The sequence below is a fragment of the Homo sapiens genome, chromosome 5 (genome assembly GCF_000001405.40).
Source record: "Homo sapiens chromosome 5, GRCh38.p14 Primary Assembly".
In the NCBI taxonomy this organism is placed as follows: Eukaryota; Metazoa; Chordata; class Mammalia; order Primates; family Hominidae; genus Homo; species Homo sapiens.
Genome location: NC_000005.10, coordinates 87,138,639 through 87,153,354, shown reverse-complemented (window position 1 = coordinate 87,153,354; position 14,716 = coordinate 87,138,639). Strand labels below are relative to the sequence as shown.

General features: G+C 40.6%; 1 long non-coding RNA gene across 1 annotated transcript in view, besides 1 other annotated feature; it reads right to left on the bottom strand.

Annotated features, from left to right (window-relative positions):
- The window catches only part of LOC101929380 (uncharacterized), a 127,874-nt gene that overhangs the window by 94,667 nt on the left and 18,491 nt on the right, over positions 1 to 14,716 (bottom strand). The window lies entirely within an intron of this gene.
- Positions 1,556 to 1,756: a silencer, noted in NCBI's record as "peak5332 fragment used in MPRA reporter construct". NCBI's record gives its function as "represses an SCP1 promoter by STARR-seq MPRAs in K562 erythroleukemia cells {active_cell/tissue: K562}" and the evidence as "EXISTENCE:reporter gene assay evidence [ECO:0000049][PMID:32103011]".

Below are 14,716 nucleotides of genomic sequence, written 5' to 3'. Positions count from 1 at the left end.
GGCCCTGGGCCATTGTTTTTGTAGAAGAAGGTCCTCCACCAAACACAAACAAACAAAGAAAACACAACTAACCTAATGCTATTGAGGACATTTTGATATGTGACCCTAGGAAAAAATATCAAGATAAAATGATATGCAACTGGAGGTGGAGAATCTAGAAGAAAGTGGTAAACAACATAGGGCCTTTGTCCTAGATTACAAAGATTTCCCTGGCTAGAGAAAGGAGGAAGAGAAAGAACTCTGGAGATCCCAAGATCAAAGGGGACCTATATACTCTTTCTGGTAATGCCTTGAGCATGATGGTATCAGTTTCCAGTAACAACAACAACAGCAAGATAATGATAGCAGCTAACTCTCCCTGAGTACTGCTATGTGCCAAATATTGTGTTATGCAATTTATATTAAATTAGCTCGTTTTGTCCTCACCACAACTTTGTGAGGTAGGTAATATACATATCTCCACTTTACAGATGCAAACCTAAAGCTGAGGAAATTTTTAAAAATTTGCACAAGACCACACACAGATACGGTGTGCGTAGGATGTGAGTCCAAGCAATGCCAAAGTCATCTTACCAGGGCTGCATACATTTGACGACTCTGCCTCTCTATGGCCAGGCACCCTCTACCCACTAAGTTCCCAGTAGACTGGGAACTTAGGCTGAGAAAACCATCTGCAGCCATTTAAGAGCTTCTTGTTTCTCCTGCAGGACACAGATCCCGATCCTATGGAGTCCTGCAAACAGGCAAACAATGAACAATAACACTCTTCTTTCTCTCCCATTCCAATCACCCAGGTAAGAGGATGAGAGAGAAAGACCAAATAATTACCAGAATCAATTTTCTGCTGGTCTGGAAGATGGGGATTGGTACAAAAAAATAATTAAGCATGAATACAGAAAATAATAAATATATTTATTATACATGTAAGTTTGTAAGGTGAGATTCATACCTATTACATAGACTATAATGCTTTCTCTTATTAGTTTGCATTACAATTAGAGTATTTCCTGTAGATTGTGAAGAAGTACAAGTTAGGACATTTTTGTTATTTAACTTTGTTTCTTGCACATAGGGGTATGCCAGGAATATGCTGGTTGAAAGGCTTATTGAATCATCCTTAATAAGATTTTTCTATTACTCTATTTTTCCCTCAGTAAATTTTGTTCACTTAAAATGTTGAGATCTTTATTGTAAATATAAAGTCTATTAACATTAATAGCTGCACTTCAAAGGTCCTTGCTCTTAGAAATGTATTTTTTACTCTTTATTCTTATTTCTTATTCTTAAGATAATTTTTAAGAATAAATCAGAAAATGTAACACAAAAACATTTCAACCAAAATATTCATTAACCATACCATGTAATTTCCAAGGGCAAAGGGTACTTACAACTGTAATGACAATAGCTGCAGAATCTATCAAGAAAACAATGTTAATGAATAGGAAGGGGAAATACATAATCCATAGAGGAACGATGCCAGAGAGAACTGCAACAAATGACTCAGCAGGAGAAGGTCTTACTAATGTCAAGGGCCAGAAAGCCAAGCACTGTCATCTAAGAAGAAAATCTGCCAAGAAATCAAGACTACTCCTAGAGTTGAAGCAACTTAATGTAAATCAGAGCTACTGTTGGTTTCTGTGATGATAACAGTTAACCAGTTAGTATGCTGCCCTTCTTAGTCACTTCCTTCCCATTCCTCTACCTCTTTGTGGTTTCTGACCTTCAGTCCTAGGAACTCAACAATTCTACAGTCCCAGTAACCCCAAATAGATTTTTTCCCTGTTAGATACATATTAAGGTTTTCAGCTTTATTTGACTTCATGAAGAACAGTTATGTCAGTTACACCAAAGATATGCATAAACTAACAAGTCTGAACTAATACTGTAAAGCATTTGAGGAAAAGCATAGGTTCTTACGCTATTTCCTTCATTCAGTCACAGACCATCCAGTCAACATCTGTTGTTTACTGAAAGTTGGGTATTGCTCTAGGTGCTAGAATTCACAGACTAGCTGGACAGACAGACATATAAATAAATTCTATGTGTAGTACGATAGGTGTTAGAGACATCGCTAAAGTTCCAGGAGAGCACAGACAGGAGAAGGCAATAGACAAAATAAAGGAGAATTTCTAGAGATGGAGATTCTATTGTTTATTTTTATTTATTTATTTACTTAGAGACAGGGTCTTGCTCTGTTGCCCAGGCTGGAGTGCAGTGGTGTGGTCATGGCTCACTGCAGCCTCAACCCCCTGAGCTCACATGATCCTCCTGCCTCAGCCTCCTGAGTAGTTGAGACTACAGGCACGTGCCACCATGCCTGGCTAATTTTTATGCTTTTAGAGACAGGGTCTCACTATGTTCCCTAGGTTGGTCTTGAGCTCCTGGGTGCAAGTGATCCTTTCACCTTGGCCTCCAAAGTGCTGGAATTACAGGTTTGAGCCACTGTTAAAAGGGACTTTGAAACTGGATCTTGAAGGATGTTAGGAAGTTTGCCAGCTGATTCAGAAAGGAAAAGGCAGCTAGGTGAAAAAGAATAATATTAATATTTTGGGGGGAGGGGCCAAGACGGATGATAAGAAGCAGCTGTGTTCCACGGCTCTCACAGAGAAGAATGAAAACGGCAAGTAAATCTGGCGTCTTCAACTGAAATATCCAGGTTCTCGCACTGGCACTGACTAGGCAATCAACTCGACCCACAGAAAATGGAGAAAAGCAGGGTGGGGTGACGGTCCACGTGGGAGCGGCACGCAGGCAAAGAAACCCTCACCGCCAGCCAAGGGAAGCAGTGAGTGATGGCGTGACTCCACCCGGGAAACCATGCTTTCCTGACTCCACCCGGGAAACCATGCTTTCCTACAGATCTTTACAAACCCTAGATCAGGAGATCCCCTCGTGAGCCCACACCACCAGGGCCTTGTGTTCGATACACAGAGCTGTGTGGAGTCTCAGCAGAGCTGTCGTTCAGGCTCACATAGAGACCCAGGTTTTTATTTTTATTTATATTATATACATATATATACACATATATACATACATATATACACATATATATACATATATACATATACATATACTATATATATACATATATATACATATACATATACTATATATACACATATATATACATATACATATACTATATATATACACATATATATGTGTATATATATATATTTTTTAATTTTGACGGAGTCTTGCTCTGTCACCAGGCTGGAGTGCAGTGGCGCGGTCTGGGCTCGCTGCAACCTCCACCCTCAGGGTTCAAGCTATTCTCCTGCCTCAGCCTCCCGAATGGCTGGGACTACAGGCAGCTGCCACCACGCCCAGCTAATTTTTTTTTTTTCGGTATTTTAGTAGAGACGGGGTTTCACCATGTTGGCCAAGATGGTCTCAATCTCCTGACCTCGTGATCCGCCAACCTCGGCCTCCCAAAGTGCTGGAATTACAGGCGTGAGCCACAGTGCGCGGCCGAGACCCAGGAGTTTTACAGTCTCTAGCCCGGGGATTTCTGGCAAGGTGGGAGTTCCATCCATACATTCCTCTAGAAAGGAGGCTGAATCCAGGGAGCCAATCGGCATCCTTCTGTGGGCCCCACTTCCGTGGCACCTCTCAGGTTAAGACCCATTGGCTTGGAATTCAGGTTCGACAATGCAGTGGGCTGGAGATTGCCTGAAATGGACGAGTTGCCAGCGGGAGGGGCTGCCACCATTTCTGCAGTTAGGTCAATTCAGCTGTTCTAGCCTGCTGGTTCCTGGGATTCCAGGTAGTCAGACAAGGAGGAGTCCCCCACAAAATAGCACAGCTGTTATGCCAGATCGTGGCCAGACTTCTTTAAGTGGGACCTGAATCCATCCCTCCTCACGGGGCAGGGCCTCCCTGTGGGAATTTCAGCAACTCCAGCCAGAGTTATACAAACAGAACTCTAATCTTTCCCTAGGATGGAGCCCCCAGGGGGAGGGGGGAAGCTTATGTCTCTGCAGTACAGTCACCTCAGCCTTTCCAGCCTGCTGGGTCTGAAGAGTCCAGGGAGGTCACCCTGATGCAGCACACCTGCTCTATCAAAAAGCAGCCAGACTGCTTCTTTAAGCAGGCTCCTGATCCTGTTTCTCCTGACTGGGTGAGACTCCCAACAAAGGTCTCTAGAAACCTCCTACAGGAGCATCCAGGCTGGGTCAGTTACCCCTCTGGGACGGGAGTTCCCAGAGGAAGGAGCAGGCTGCCATCTTTGCTGTTTAGCAGACTTCACTGGTGATACCTCCAGGTAAGGGAAAAACTGAGGCAACTAGGGTCTGGAGCAATCCCCCAGCAAACCACGGCAGCCCTACAGAACAGTGGCCTGACTATTAAAAGAAAAACAAACAAACAGAAAACGACAACAACATCAATAAAAAATACCCCACAAAAACCTTATTCAAAGGTCAGCAACCTCAAATATCAAAGGTAAATAAGTCCACAAGAGAATCAAGGCAAAAACACTGAAAACTCAAAAAGCCAGAGTACTTTTTCTCCTCCAAATGACTGCAGCACCTCTGCAACAAGGGCACAGAGCTGGGCTGAGGCTGAGATGGCTGAATTGACAAAAGTAGGCTTCAGAAGATGGGTAATAACGAACTTCACTGAGCTAAAGGAGCATGTTGTAACCCAATGCAAAGAAATTAAGAATCATGATAAAACAATACAGGAGCTGAGAGGCAGAATAATTTAGAGAGGAGCATAGCCGACCTGATGGAGCTGAAAAACACAACATGAGAAATTCACAATGCAATCACAAGTATCAAAAGCAGAATACACCAGGCAGAGGAAACAGTCTTATAGCTTGAAGACTGTCTTTTTGAAATAAGACAGGCAGACAAGAATAGAGAAAAAAGAATGAAAAATAATGAACTCTGAGAAATATGGGACTATGTAAAAAGACCAAATCTATGACTGATTGGGGTAACTTAAAGAGATGGGGAGAATGGAACCAAGTTGGAAAATATACTTCAGGATGTCATTCCAGGAGAGCCGGGCACAGTGGCTCATGCCTGTAATTCCAGTACTGTGGGAGGCTGAGGCAGGTGGATTGCCTGAGCTCAGGAGTTCAAGACCAGCCTGGACAACATGGTGAAACCCTGTCTCTGCTAAAATACAAAAAGTTAGCTGGGTGTGGTGGTGTGCGCCTATAGTCCCAGGTACTCAGGAGGCTGAGGCATGAAAATTGCTTGAACCTGGGAGGCTGCAGTGAGCTGAGATTACACCACTGCACTCCAGCCTAGGTGACAGAGTGAGACTGTCTCAAACAAACAAACAAACAAAGAAAAAGGATATCATTCCCGGAGAACTTCCCCAACCTAGCAAGACAGGCCAACATTCAAATTCAGGAAATCCAGAGAACCCCAGTAAGATACTTCATGAAAAGATCAACCCAAAGACATATAATCATCAGATTCTCCAAGGTTGAAATGAAAGACAAAAATGTTAAGGGTAGCCAGAGAGGAAGGCCAGGTCACCTACAAAGGGAAGCCCATCAGACTAACAGCAGACCTCTCAACAGAAACCCTACAAGCCAGAAGAGATTGGGGGCCAATATTCTACATTCTTAAAGAAAAGATTTTCCAACCCAGAATTTCATATCTGGCCAAACTAAGCTTCCCAAGTGAAGAAGAAATACAATCCTTTTCAGACAAGTGAATGCTTAGGGAATTTGTCACCACCAGGCCTGCCTTGCAAGAGCTCCTGAAGGAAGCACTAAATATGGAAAGGGAAAACTGTTACCATTGATATGGGTCTTGACTGTTTATCCAGCTTCCATTCTGTGTCTTTTAATTGGGCATTTATTTAGTCCATTTACATACATTTAAAGTTATATTGTTCTGTGTGCATTTGAACCTGTCATCATGATGCTTGCTGGTTATTTTGCAGACTTGTTTATATGGTTGCTTCATAGTGTCACTGGTTTGTGTAATTCAGTGTATTTCTGTAATGGCTGGTAATGGTTTTTCCTTTCCATATTTAGTGCTTCTTTTAGCAAGAATCTCTGGGACACAGCTGAAGCAGTGTTAAGAGTGAAATTTATAGCACTAAATGCCCATAACAAAAAGCTAGAAAGATCTCAAATTAACAACGCAAATAAAATAACTAGTGAACTGAGGGCAAACAAACCCTAAACCTAGCAGAAGACAAGAAATAACCAAGATGAGAGCAGAACTGGAGGAGACAGAGACATGAAAAACCCTTCAAAATATCAATGAATTCAGGAGCTTTTTTCAAAAAAAGTAATAAAATAGATAGACTGCTTGCTAAACTAATAAAGAAGAAAAGAGAGAAGAATCAAATAAGACACAGTCAGAAATGACAAGGGGGATAGTATCACTGATCCCACAGAAATACAAACAACTCTGAGAGAATACTTCTATACACATAAACCAGAAAATCTAGAAGAAATGGATAAATTCCTGGACACATAAACCCTTCGAAGACTGAACCAGGAAGAAATTGAATCGCTGAATAGACTAATAATGAATTCTGAAATAGAGGCAGTAGTAAATAGCTTACCAACCAAAAAAAACCCAGGACCAGATGGATTGACAGCTGAATTCCAACATGGTACAAAGAAGAGCTGGCCAAGGCCAATAGTTTCTTCTGAAACTATTCCAAACAATGGAAAAGGATGGACTTCTCCCTAACTTATTTTATGAGGCCAGCATCATTCTGATACCAAAACCTGGCAGAGATACAACAGAAAAAGAAAACTTCAGGCCAATATCCCTGATGAACATCGATGCAAAAATCCTCAATGAAATACTGGCAAATCCAGCAGCATATCAAAAAGTTTATCCAACACGATTAAGTTGGCTTCATATCCAGGATGCAAGGCTGGTTCAACATACATGAATCAATAAATGTAATTCATCACATAAACAGAACTAAAGACAAAAACCACATGATTATCTCAATAGACACAGAAAAGGCCTTCGATAAAATTCAACCTCCCTTCATATTAAAAACTCTCAATAAACTAGGTATTGAAGGGACATATCTCAAAATAATAACAGCCATTTATGACAAACCCATAGCCAATATTATACTGAATGGGCAAAAGCTGGAAGCATTCCCCTTGAAAACTGGCACAAAACAAGGATGCTCTCTCTCACCACTCTTATTCAACATAGTATTGGAAGTTCTGGCCAGGACAATAAGGCAAGAGAAAGAAATAAAGGATATTCAATTAGGGAGAGAGGAAGTCAAATTATCCTTGTTTGCAGATGACATCATCTTGTATCCAGAAAATCCCAGTGTCTCAGCCCAAAAGCTTCTTAAGCTGTTAAGCAACTTCAGCAAAGTCTCAGGATACAAAATCAATGTGCAAACATTGCTAACATTCCTATACGCCAACACAGGCAACAGAGAGCCAAATCATGAATGAACTCCCATTCCTAATTGCTAGAAAGAGAATAAAATACCTAGGAATACAGCTAACAGGGAAGTGAAGGACCTGTTCAAGAACTACAAACCACTGATCAAAGAAATCAGAGACAACACAAACAAATGGAAAAAAATTCCATGCTCATGGATAGGAAGACTCGATATCATGATAATGGCCATACTGCCCAAAGTAATTTATAGATTCAATGCCATTCCCATTAAACTACCACTGACATTCTTCACAGTATTAGAAGAAACTTTAAAAAAGTTCATGTGGAACCAAAAAAGAGCCCAAATAGCCAAGACAATCCTATGGAAAAATAACAAAGCTGGAGGCATCACACTACCTGACTTCAAACTATACTACAAGACTGCAATAACCAAAACAGCATAGTACTCGTACAAGAACAGATACATAGACCAATGGAACAGAATAGAGAACTCAGAAAACTTCAGAAATAAAACTGTACACCTACAACCATCTGATCTTAAACAAACCTGACAAAAAGAAGCAATGGGGAAAGGATTCCCTATTTAATAAATGGTGCTGGGAGAAGTGGCTAGCCATATGCAGGAAATTGAAACTGGACTCCTTCCTTACAACTTATACAAAATTAACCCCAGATAGATTAAAGATTTAAATGGGCTGGGCACGGTGGCTCACACCTGTAATTCCAGCACTTTGGGAGGCCGAGGCGGGGAGATCACAAGGTCAGGAGATCGAGACCATCCTGGCTAACACCGTGAAACCCCGTCTCTACTAATAATACAAAAAAATTAGCCAGGTGTGGTGGCAGGCACCTGTAGTCCCAGCTACTTGGGAGGCTGAGGCAGGAGAATGGCATGAACCTGGAAGGCGGACCTTGCAGTGAGCCAAGATCGTGCCACTGCACTCCAGCATGGGCGAGACTCATTCTCACAGAAAAAAAAAAAAAAAAAGACTTAAATGTAAACCCCCAAACTATAATCACCCCGGGAGAAAATCTAGACAATACCATTCAGCACATAGGCATGGGTAAATATTTCATGATGAAAACCCCAAAAGCAATTGCAACAAAAGCAAAAATTGACAAATGAGATCTAATTAAACTAAATAGCTTCTGCACAGCAAAAGAAACCACCAGAGTAAACAGACAACCTACAGAATGGGAGAAATTTTTTTCAATGTATCCGTCTGACAGAAGTCTAATATCTGGAATCTACAAGGAACTTAAACAAATTTATGAGAAGAAAACAAACAATCCCATTAAAAAGTGGGCAAAGTACATACATGAACAAACACTTCAAAAGAAGACATTCATGTGGCCAAAAACATATGAACAAAGCTCAACATCACTGACGATTAGAGAAATGCAAATCAAAACCATAGTGAAATACCATCTCACACTAGTCAAAATGGCTGTTATTAAAAAGTCAAAAGATAACAGATGTTGGTGAGGTTTTGCAGAAAAGGGAGCACTTATACACTGTTGGTGGTAGTGTAAATCAGTTCAACCATTGTGGAAGACAGTGTGGTGATTCCTCAAAGCTGCTGTGGCAGAGATACCATTAATCCCAGCAATACCATTACTGGGTGTATACCCAAAGGAATATAAATAATTTTGTTATAAGATACACACACACGTATGTTCATTGCAGCACTATTCACAATAGCAAAGACATGGAATCAACCTAAATGACCATCAGTGATACACTGGATAAAGAAAATGTGGTACATATACACCATGAAATACTATGCAGCCATAAAAAGGAAGGAGATCATGTCCTTTGCAGGGACATGGATGGAGCTGAAGCCATTATCCTCAGCAAATTAATGCAGGAACAGAAAACCAAACACCGCATGTTCTCACTTATAAGCGGGAGCTGAACGATGAGAACACATGGACAAATGAGGGGGAACAACACACACTGGGGCCCATCAGGAGTGGGGCTAGGGGGAGGGGGAGCATCATGAAGAGTAGTAATCGATGCTGGGCTTAATACTTAGGTGATGGGTTGATCTTTGCAGCAAACCATCATGGCACACATTTAGCTATGTAACAAACCTACACATCCTGAACATCTATCCCGGAACTTAAAAGTTGAAGAGAAAAAAAGAATAATATTTTCAAAGACCCAGAATCATGAAAGAGTATGGCGTATTATGGATTAGAAAGATAATTCTATGCAGATGATGTTACAGTAGGATATGAGAAGAGGGGAGTGGGAAATGAAGCAGGGGAAGAAAGCAAGTATGGATTACCTTTGCAGGCTATACTTACTAAATTAGAGAGTGTTACAGATTTTACTAACAGAGTTACTTTTTTTTTTTTTTTTTTTTTTTTGAGACAGAGTCTTGCTCTGTCGCCCACGCTGGAGTGCAGTGGCACGATCTCGATCTCAGCTCACTGAAACCTCCGCCTCCCAGGTTCAAGCGATTCTCGTGCTTCAACATCCTAAGTAGCTGGGATTACAGGCATGCACCACCACGCCCAGCTAATTTTTGTATTTTTAGTAGAGACAGGGTTTCACCATGTTGGCCAGGCTGATCTTGAACTCCTGACCTCAAGCAATCCACCCTCCTCAGCCTCCCAAAGTGCTGGGATTACAGGCATGAGCCACCATGCCCAGCTGACTGAGTTATTTTTTGATGACAGCTAATTATTCTGTTGACTAATAGGGGATTGATATGAATATACTCTTTCCATTGATGGCAAAATTATGCCAGTGCTAGGGTAGGGGCAGCTGAATCCAGCAGGGACAAAACCAAATAAGGTACAGAGCTGGTCACAGTTTCTACTACATAGATTTGCATGTGATGTACATCTGTGAATGTTCTTAACTTACTGGGGGGTTTGGAGTGTGTGTGTGTGTGTGTGAGAGAGAGAGAGAGAGAAAGAGAGAGAGAGAGGCTATTTGGTTCTGTAATTGATATAAAGAAAGGTGGGCTGGGGTGGAGTATAAATCTTGGAACTCACTCTGGTATTTGAAATTCTTAACTACCTCTCTGCTCACTATTACATGGACAGTGTTGTCCTTCATGTTCTTGTGAGAAGTGAGTAATAGGTATAACATGTGAAGGTTTCTTTCACGCTTTCCTCTTGTAGTAAATGAGTATTTTAGTTCAAGAGAAAAAGGGATGCATAGAGGAACAGGTGTAATAAATAAAATCCTTAAGAAAAAGTCCTTAGTTTTTCTCAAAGGTTTAATTTTTTTTTCTCAAAATTAGTCAGCATGGCAGACTGGTCATGGGCTTTAGTAGGCAGCTTTAAGTATTCCTGTTCATTTCATTGTCCCACAGTCATAAGGTGACAAGAGGGCCCTCAGTTACAGAGTAGAGGTGGAAAGAGTCATCTTAATTATTTGGGGAAAGGATGGTCAATATCATGTGTAACAGGCTGCAAATAAAGACCTAGAAAAGCATTTGAGGTCTTGTTCCCATCCTTGACGGTCTCAGTGTTACTTCTGACAGGACGACCAGAGTGTAGAGTCTGGGGCATTCTCTAACTCAATTAAAAGTAGAAAACTTAGTATAAGATGTGTATGTGGGCAGAATTAATAGTAAGAATTGGCAGGGCTGGGCGCGGTGGCTCACGCCTGTAATCCCAGCACTTTGGGAGGCCGGGGCCAGCGGATCATGAGGTCAGGAAATCGAGACCATCCTGGCTAACACGGTGAAACCCCGTCTTTACTAAAAATACAAAAAATTAGCCAGGCGTGGTGGCGGGCGCCTGTAATCCCAGCTACTCCGGAGGCTGAGAAAGGAGAATGGCGTGAACCCGGGAGGTGGAGCTTGCAGTGAGCTGAGATCGTGCCACTGCACTCCAGCCTGGGCGACAGAGCGAGACTCGGTCTCAAAAAAAAAAAAAAAAAAAAAAAAAAAAAAGAACTGGCAGGACCTTGTCCGCCCTTCCCTTCCTTCCACTGTAATCTGATCTGTAGTATCTTTTCTATTGTTTTCCAGTACAAATCTAAATTCTTTGTATCTTATAGTATCTTAATATTCTGGACTTTGGGTGCCTTTATAAGAGGTTAAATTTTAATTTTCTCATAACTCAGTACAGTAAATATCCCAACTAGTGTAAATATCTTTAGCTTTGTGTTGAAATTTTATTTTTTAATTCCATGCCCAATATTATCTTGTAGCAGGTGCAGATTCTGTGCTTTCTGAATTCTTTGTGAACATAAATCCCAGTGGAGATATGTTTCATTCCCTGCATACCATTGTTCTGATAATGATGCTTATAAAACAGAGAGAGATACTTTCTAGCCTCCATGGCTAAGTATACATTTCAAGAAAGCCCAGTGTTCATCAAGAAAATGTGGAACTGCCTACAGGTTTTTGTGGATATATGTGTATGGTTTTGGTTAAGTTTGCTGGAGGTAAAAGCTGCCTTATTTATTGTAATCCACTGGCGTCAGTACAGTTCATAGAAAGGGTATCACACCGTGAAATTGTTATATGCCCCTTTCTGTGCTCCTGGGATCATTTAGTTGTTAAAACATAATTTAAAATGATAATTGCTGGAAATGGGCATGATCAGGGAAGTATTCCAGAGCAGCCTTGCAAATAAATACATAATATTTATAAGCACACTTTGAAAAACCTATTTTCTAGACTCCATTTAAGAAATATCTAGGTGAGGGAAAACGGATAAAATGAAATCAGTATTTTCTACTATTCATTTAGTCTGTGTCAAAATTTTCCAGAAGCAAGCGATTGTTTGCCAGTAACAGAATGGTGCCTTAATGCTTCTCTTTCTCTCTCACTTCATTCCTCCCTTCCATTCGCCTGCCCTCTCTCCCTCCCTTCCTCCCTCCCTCCCTTTCTTCCTTTCTTCCTTCCTTCTGTCCTCCCTTCCTCCCTCCCTCTCCCCCTCCCTCCCTTTCTCTCTCCTTCTTTCCCTCTCTCCCTCTCTCCTTCCCTTCCTCTTTTTGTTAGTGCAAATTGTGATGTGATTGTGGAATCTCTGAGGACAATGAATGTCATGTTAATAAGTTCATCTTTAATATACGATGCAAACTGCTGCACAGTGAGAAATTCTGTCTATATAACTCACTCTGGAAGGTTTAGAAAGTTGCATACCCATCCTAAAATAAATCTAGGCATAGTAAGTTCCTGCCAGTTATTCATGAGAAGCACGTTGGGATTGTTAGACTTATCTCTGAAGAATAGATGGGTGCTTCTCATCCCTATCTTGACTGATCTTGCTCCAGAGCTAGCGTCTCACATTTCCAATTGCTGCTAGACAGTTTCTTGTGAATGACCTTTTGTTGCCTAAAATTCTGCATGGGTAAAGCTAAATGTTAAACATGGTTTCCTTGCTTACCTTAATCTACTAATGTGTCTATTTTTTGTTTTCTTCACTCAGTCAGTTGCCAAAATCCATCAATGTTTTCCTTTCCCCATTTCCTGCGGTCCTTCTCATCTCCACTTCCCTCTTTCCTACTGCCCTTTTATCCATTTGTGCCTTTATTTGCCCATTGTACATTAAGTGTGTTCTCTATGTAGATCTTTGGGTGTACAGATATCCATAAGGCAGCCACACAGTTCTCTCTTTGTCTTGCTTTTTTACTGATAGAACAATTTAAGAGTCTTCTAACTAAATCTTTGTTTTTAATATCCTTTATCTTTTTATTATTCTCTTCCTACCAACCTTCCATTCTACACAATTGTTGCCAAATTAGTTGATGGAAGGTTTTTCTATCAAATTTCCTTTGAATAGGTCACTCTTCAGTTTTTTTAAAAAAATGCTTACTTGGTCTTTATTTTCCACAGGAAAATAGAAGTGGTGTAGGGGCATGGGAAGTACTTCTTTCCTCCCCATCCTCAAGCCAAGCATTCAAGACTGTCCTCAAGATGAGCCCCACCTGTCTTTTCAGTATGCATCATTCATCTTAAGTTTCTTCATAAGCTTTTCACCCCAGTGGCACTGATGTGTTCACTACCTTCTGAGTAAGCCAGGTGTCTTTCCAGTGCTATGCTGGCACATTCCTTTCCCCCAAAATCACCCCTCACTTATGACTTTGCCAGTACAAACTTCTTTCCTTCAAAATACAGGTCAATCATAAAGCTTCTCTCAATCCTCTAGGCCAGGAATTGACTTTTTTTTTTTTTTCCTGTGAAGGGCCAGACAACAAATATTCTAGGCTTTCTGAGCCATACAGTAATTGTGGTAATCATTCAACTCTGTTGTAGCATGAAAGCAGACATAGATAATATACAAAGGAATGGGTGTAGCTGTGTTCCAATAAAACTTCATTTGTACCAACCTGGTCAGCATAGGCAGATCCTGTCCATACAACAAAATAAAAAATTTAGCTGGGCATGTGCTTGTAGTCCCAGCTACTCAAGAGGCTGAGATGGGAGGATTACTTGAGCCCAGGAGTTACAGGCTGCAGTGAAGTAGGCCCACACCACTGTATTCTAGCCTGTGTGACAGAAAGAGACCATGTCTCTTAAAACAAACAAATAAACAACAACAACAAACCCTTTACTTGCTGACATTGAACATTCAGTTTTAAATATTTTTCATGTGTCATGATATACTATTCTCCTGTTTAGTTTTGTTCAATCAGTTTTGTTTAACAATTTAAAAATGTTAAAAACTAGTCTCAGCTCATGGGCCATCTAAAAACAGGTGACAGGTAGATTTGGCCTGTGGGCTGTAGTTTGCAGACTACTGATTGAGGCAGAAGTTTCCCTCATAATTCCTGATAGGAAGTCCCTTGAACTATGCACTTGGTGTGCAGGATACTTTTTATATACTGACCTGCACTGCATTTTAATTGTGTGTTTATTAACTTTACTCAGATCAGATGTCAAGAAAGCTGGAGTTTATCTCATAGTTCTTCCTATTTCCTCAGCACTTACCACAGTATCTTTTGGATAACTAGGGCTCAATGAAAATAAAATGATATGAGTGATTCAAGCAAGCTCTGTTAGAATAGTCATCTATGAATCTTTCTGCCCTTATGTTTAGGTCAAAAGTAAATTAGAAATAACATTTTCTACAGATAATTCATTGTGGAATTATTATCTCTTTCTTTCCACATGCTCATGTGTGAATTTAAAATATACTTCATTGTAAATTAAAGGGATAAAATATGACATAAGCTTATTTTTCTTTATAATCAGCATTTCATTAATATGGAAGTGTTTGCTTTCTTTGCAAATAAAATACATTTGGAAATCACAACAAAATTAGGATAGCAGCAATGGGAGCTTCTAAAATGTGTTTCTAGAAACAGAACAGTAAAGTATCTTCCTTTAAGATCTCTTTGGCTGCCTGGAAACAAGCATTACTCAGTGTTCTCATGGACCTAGATG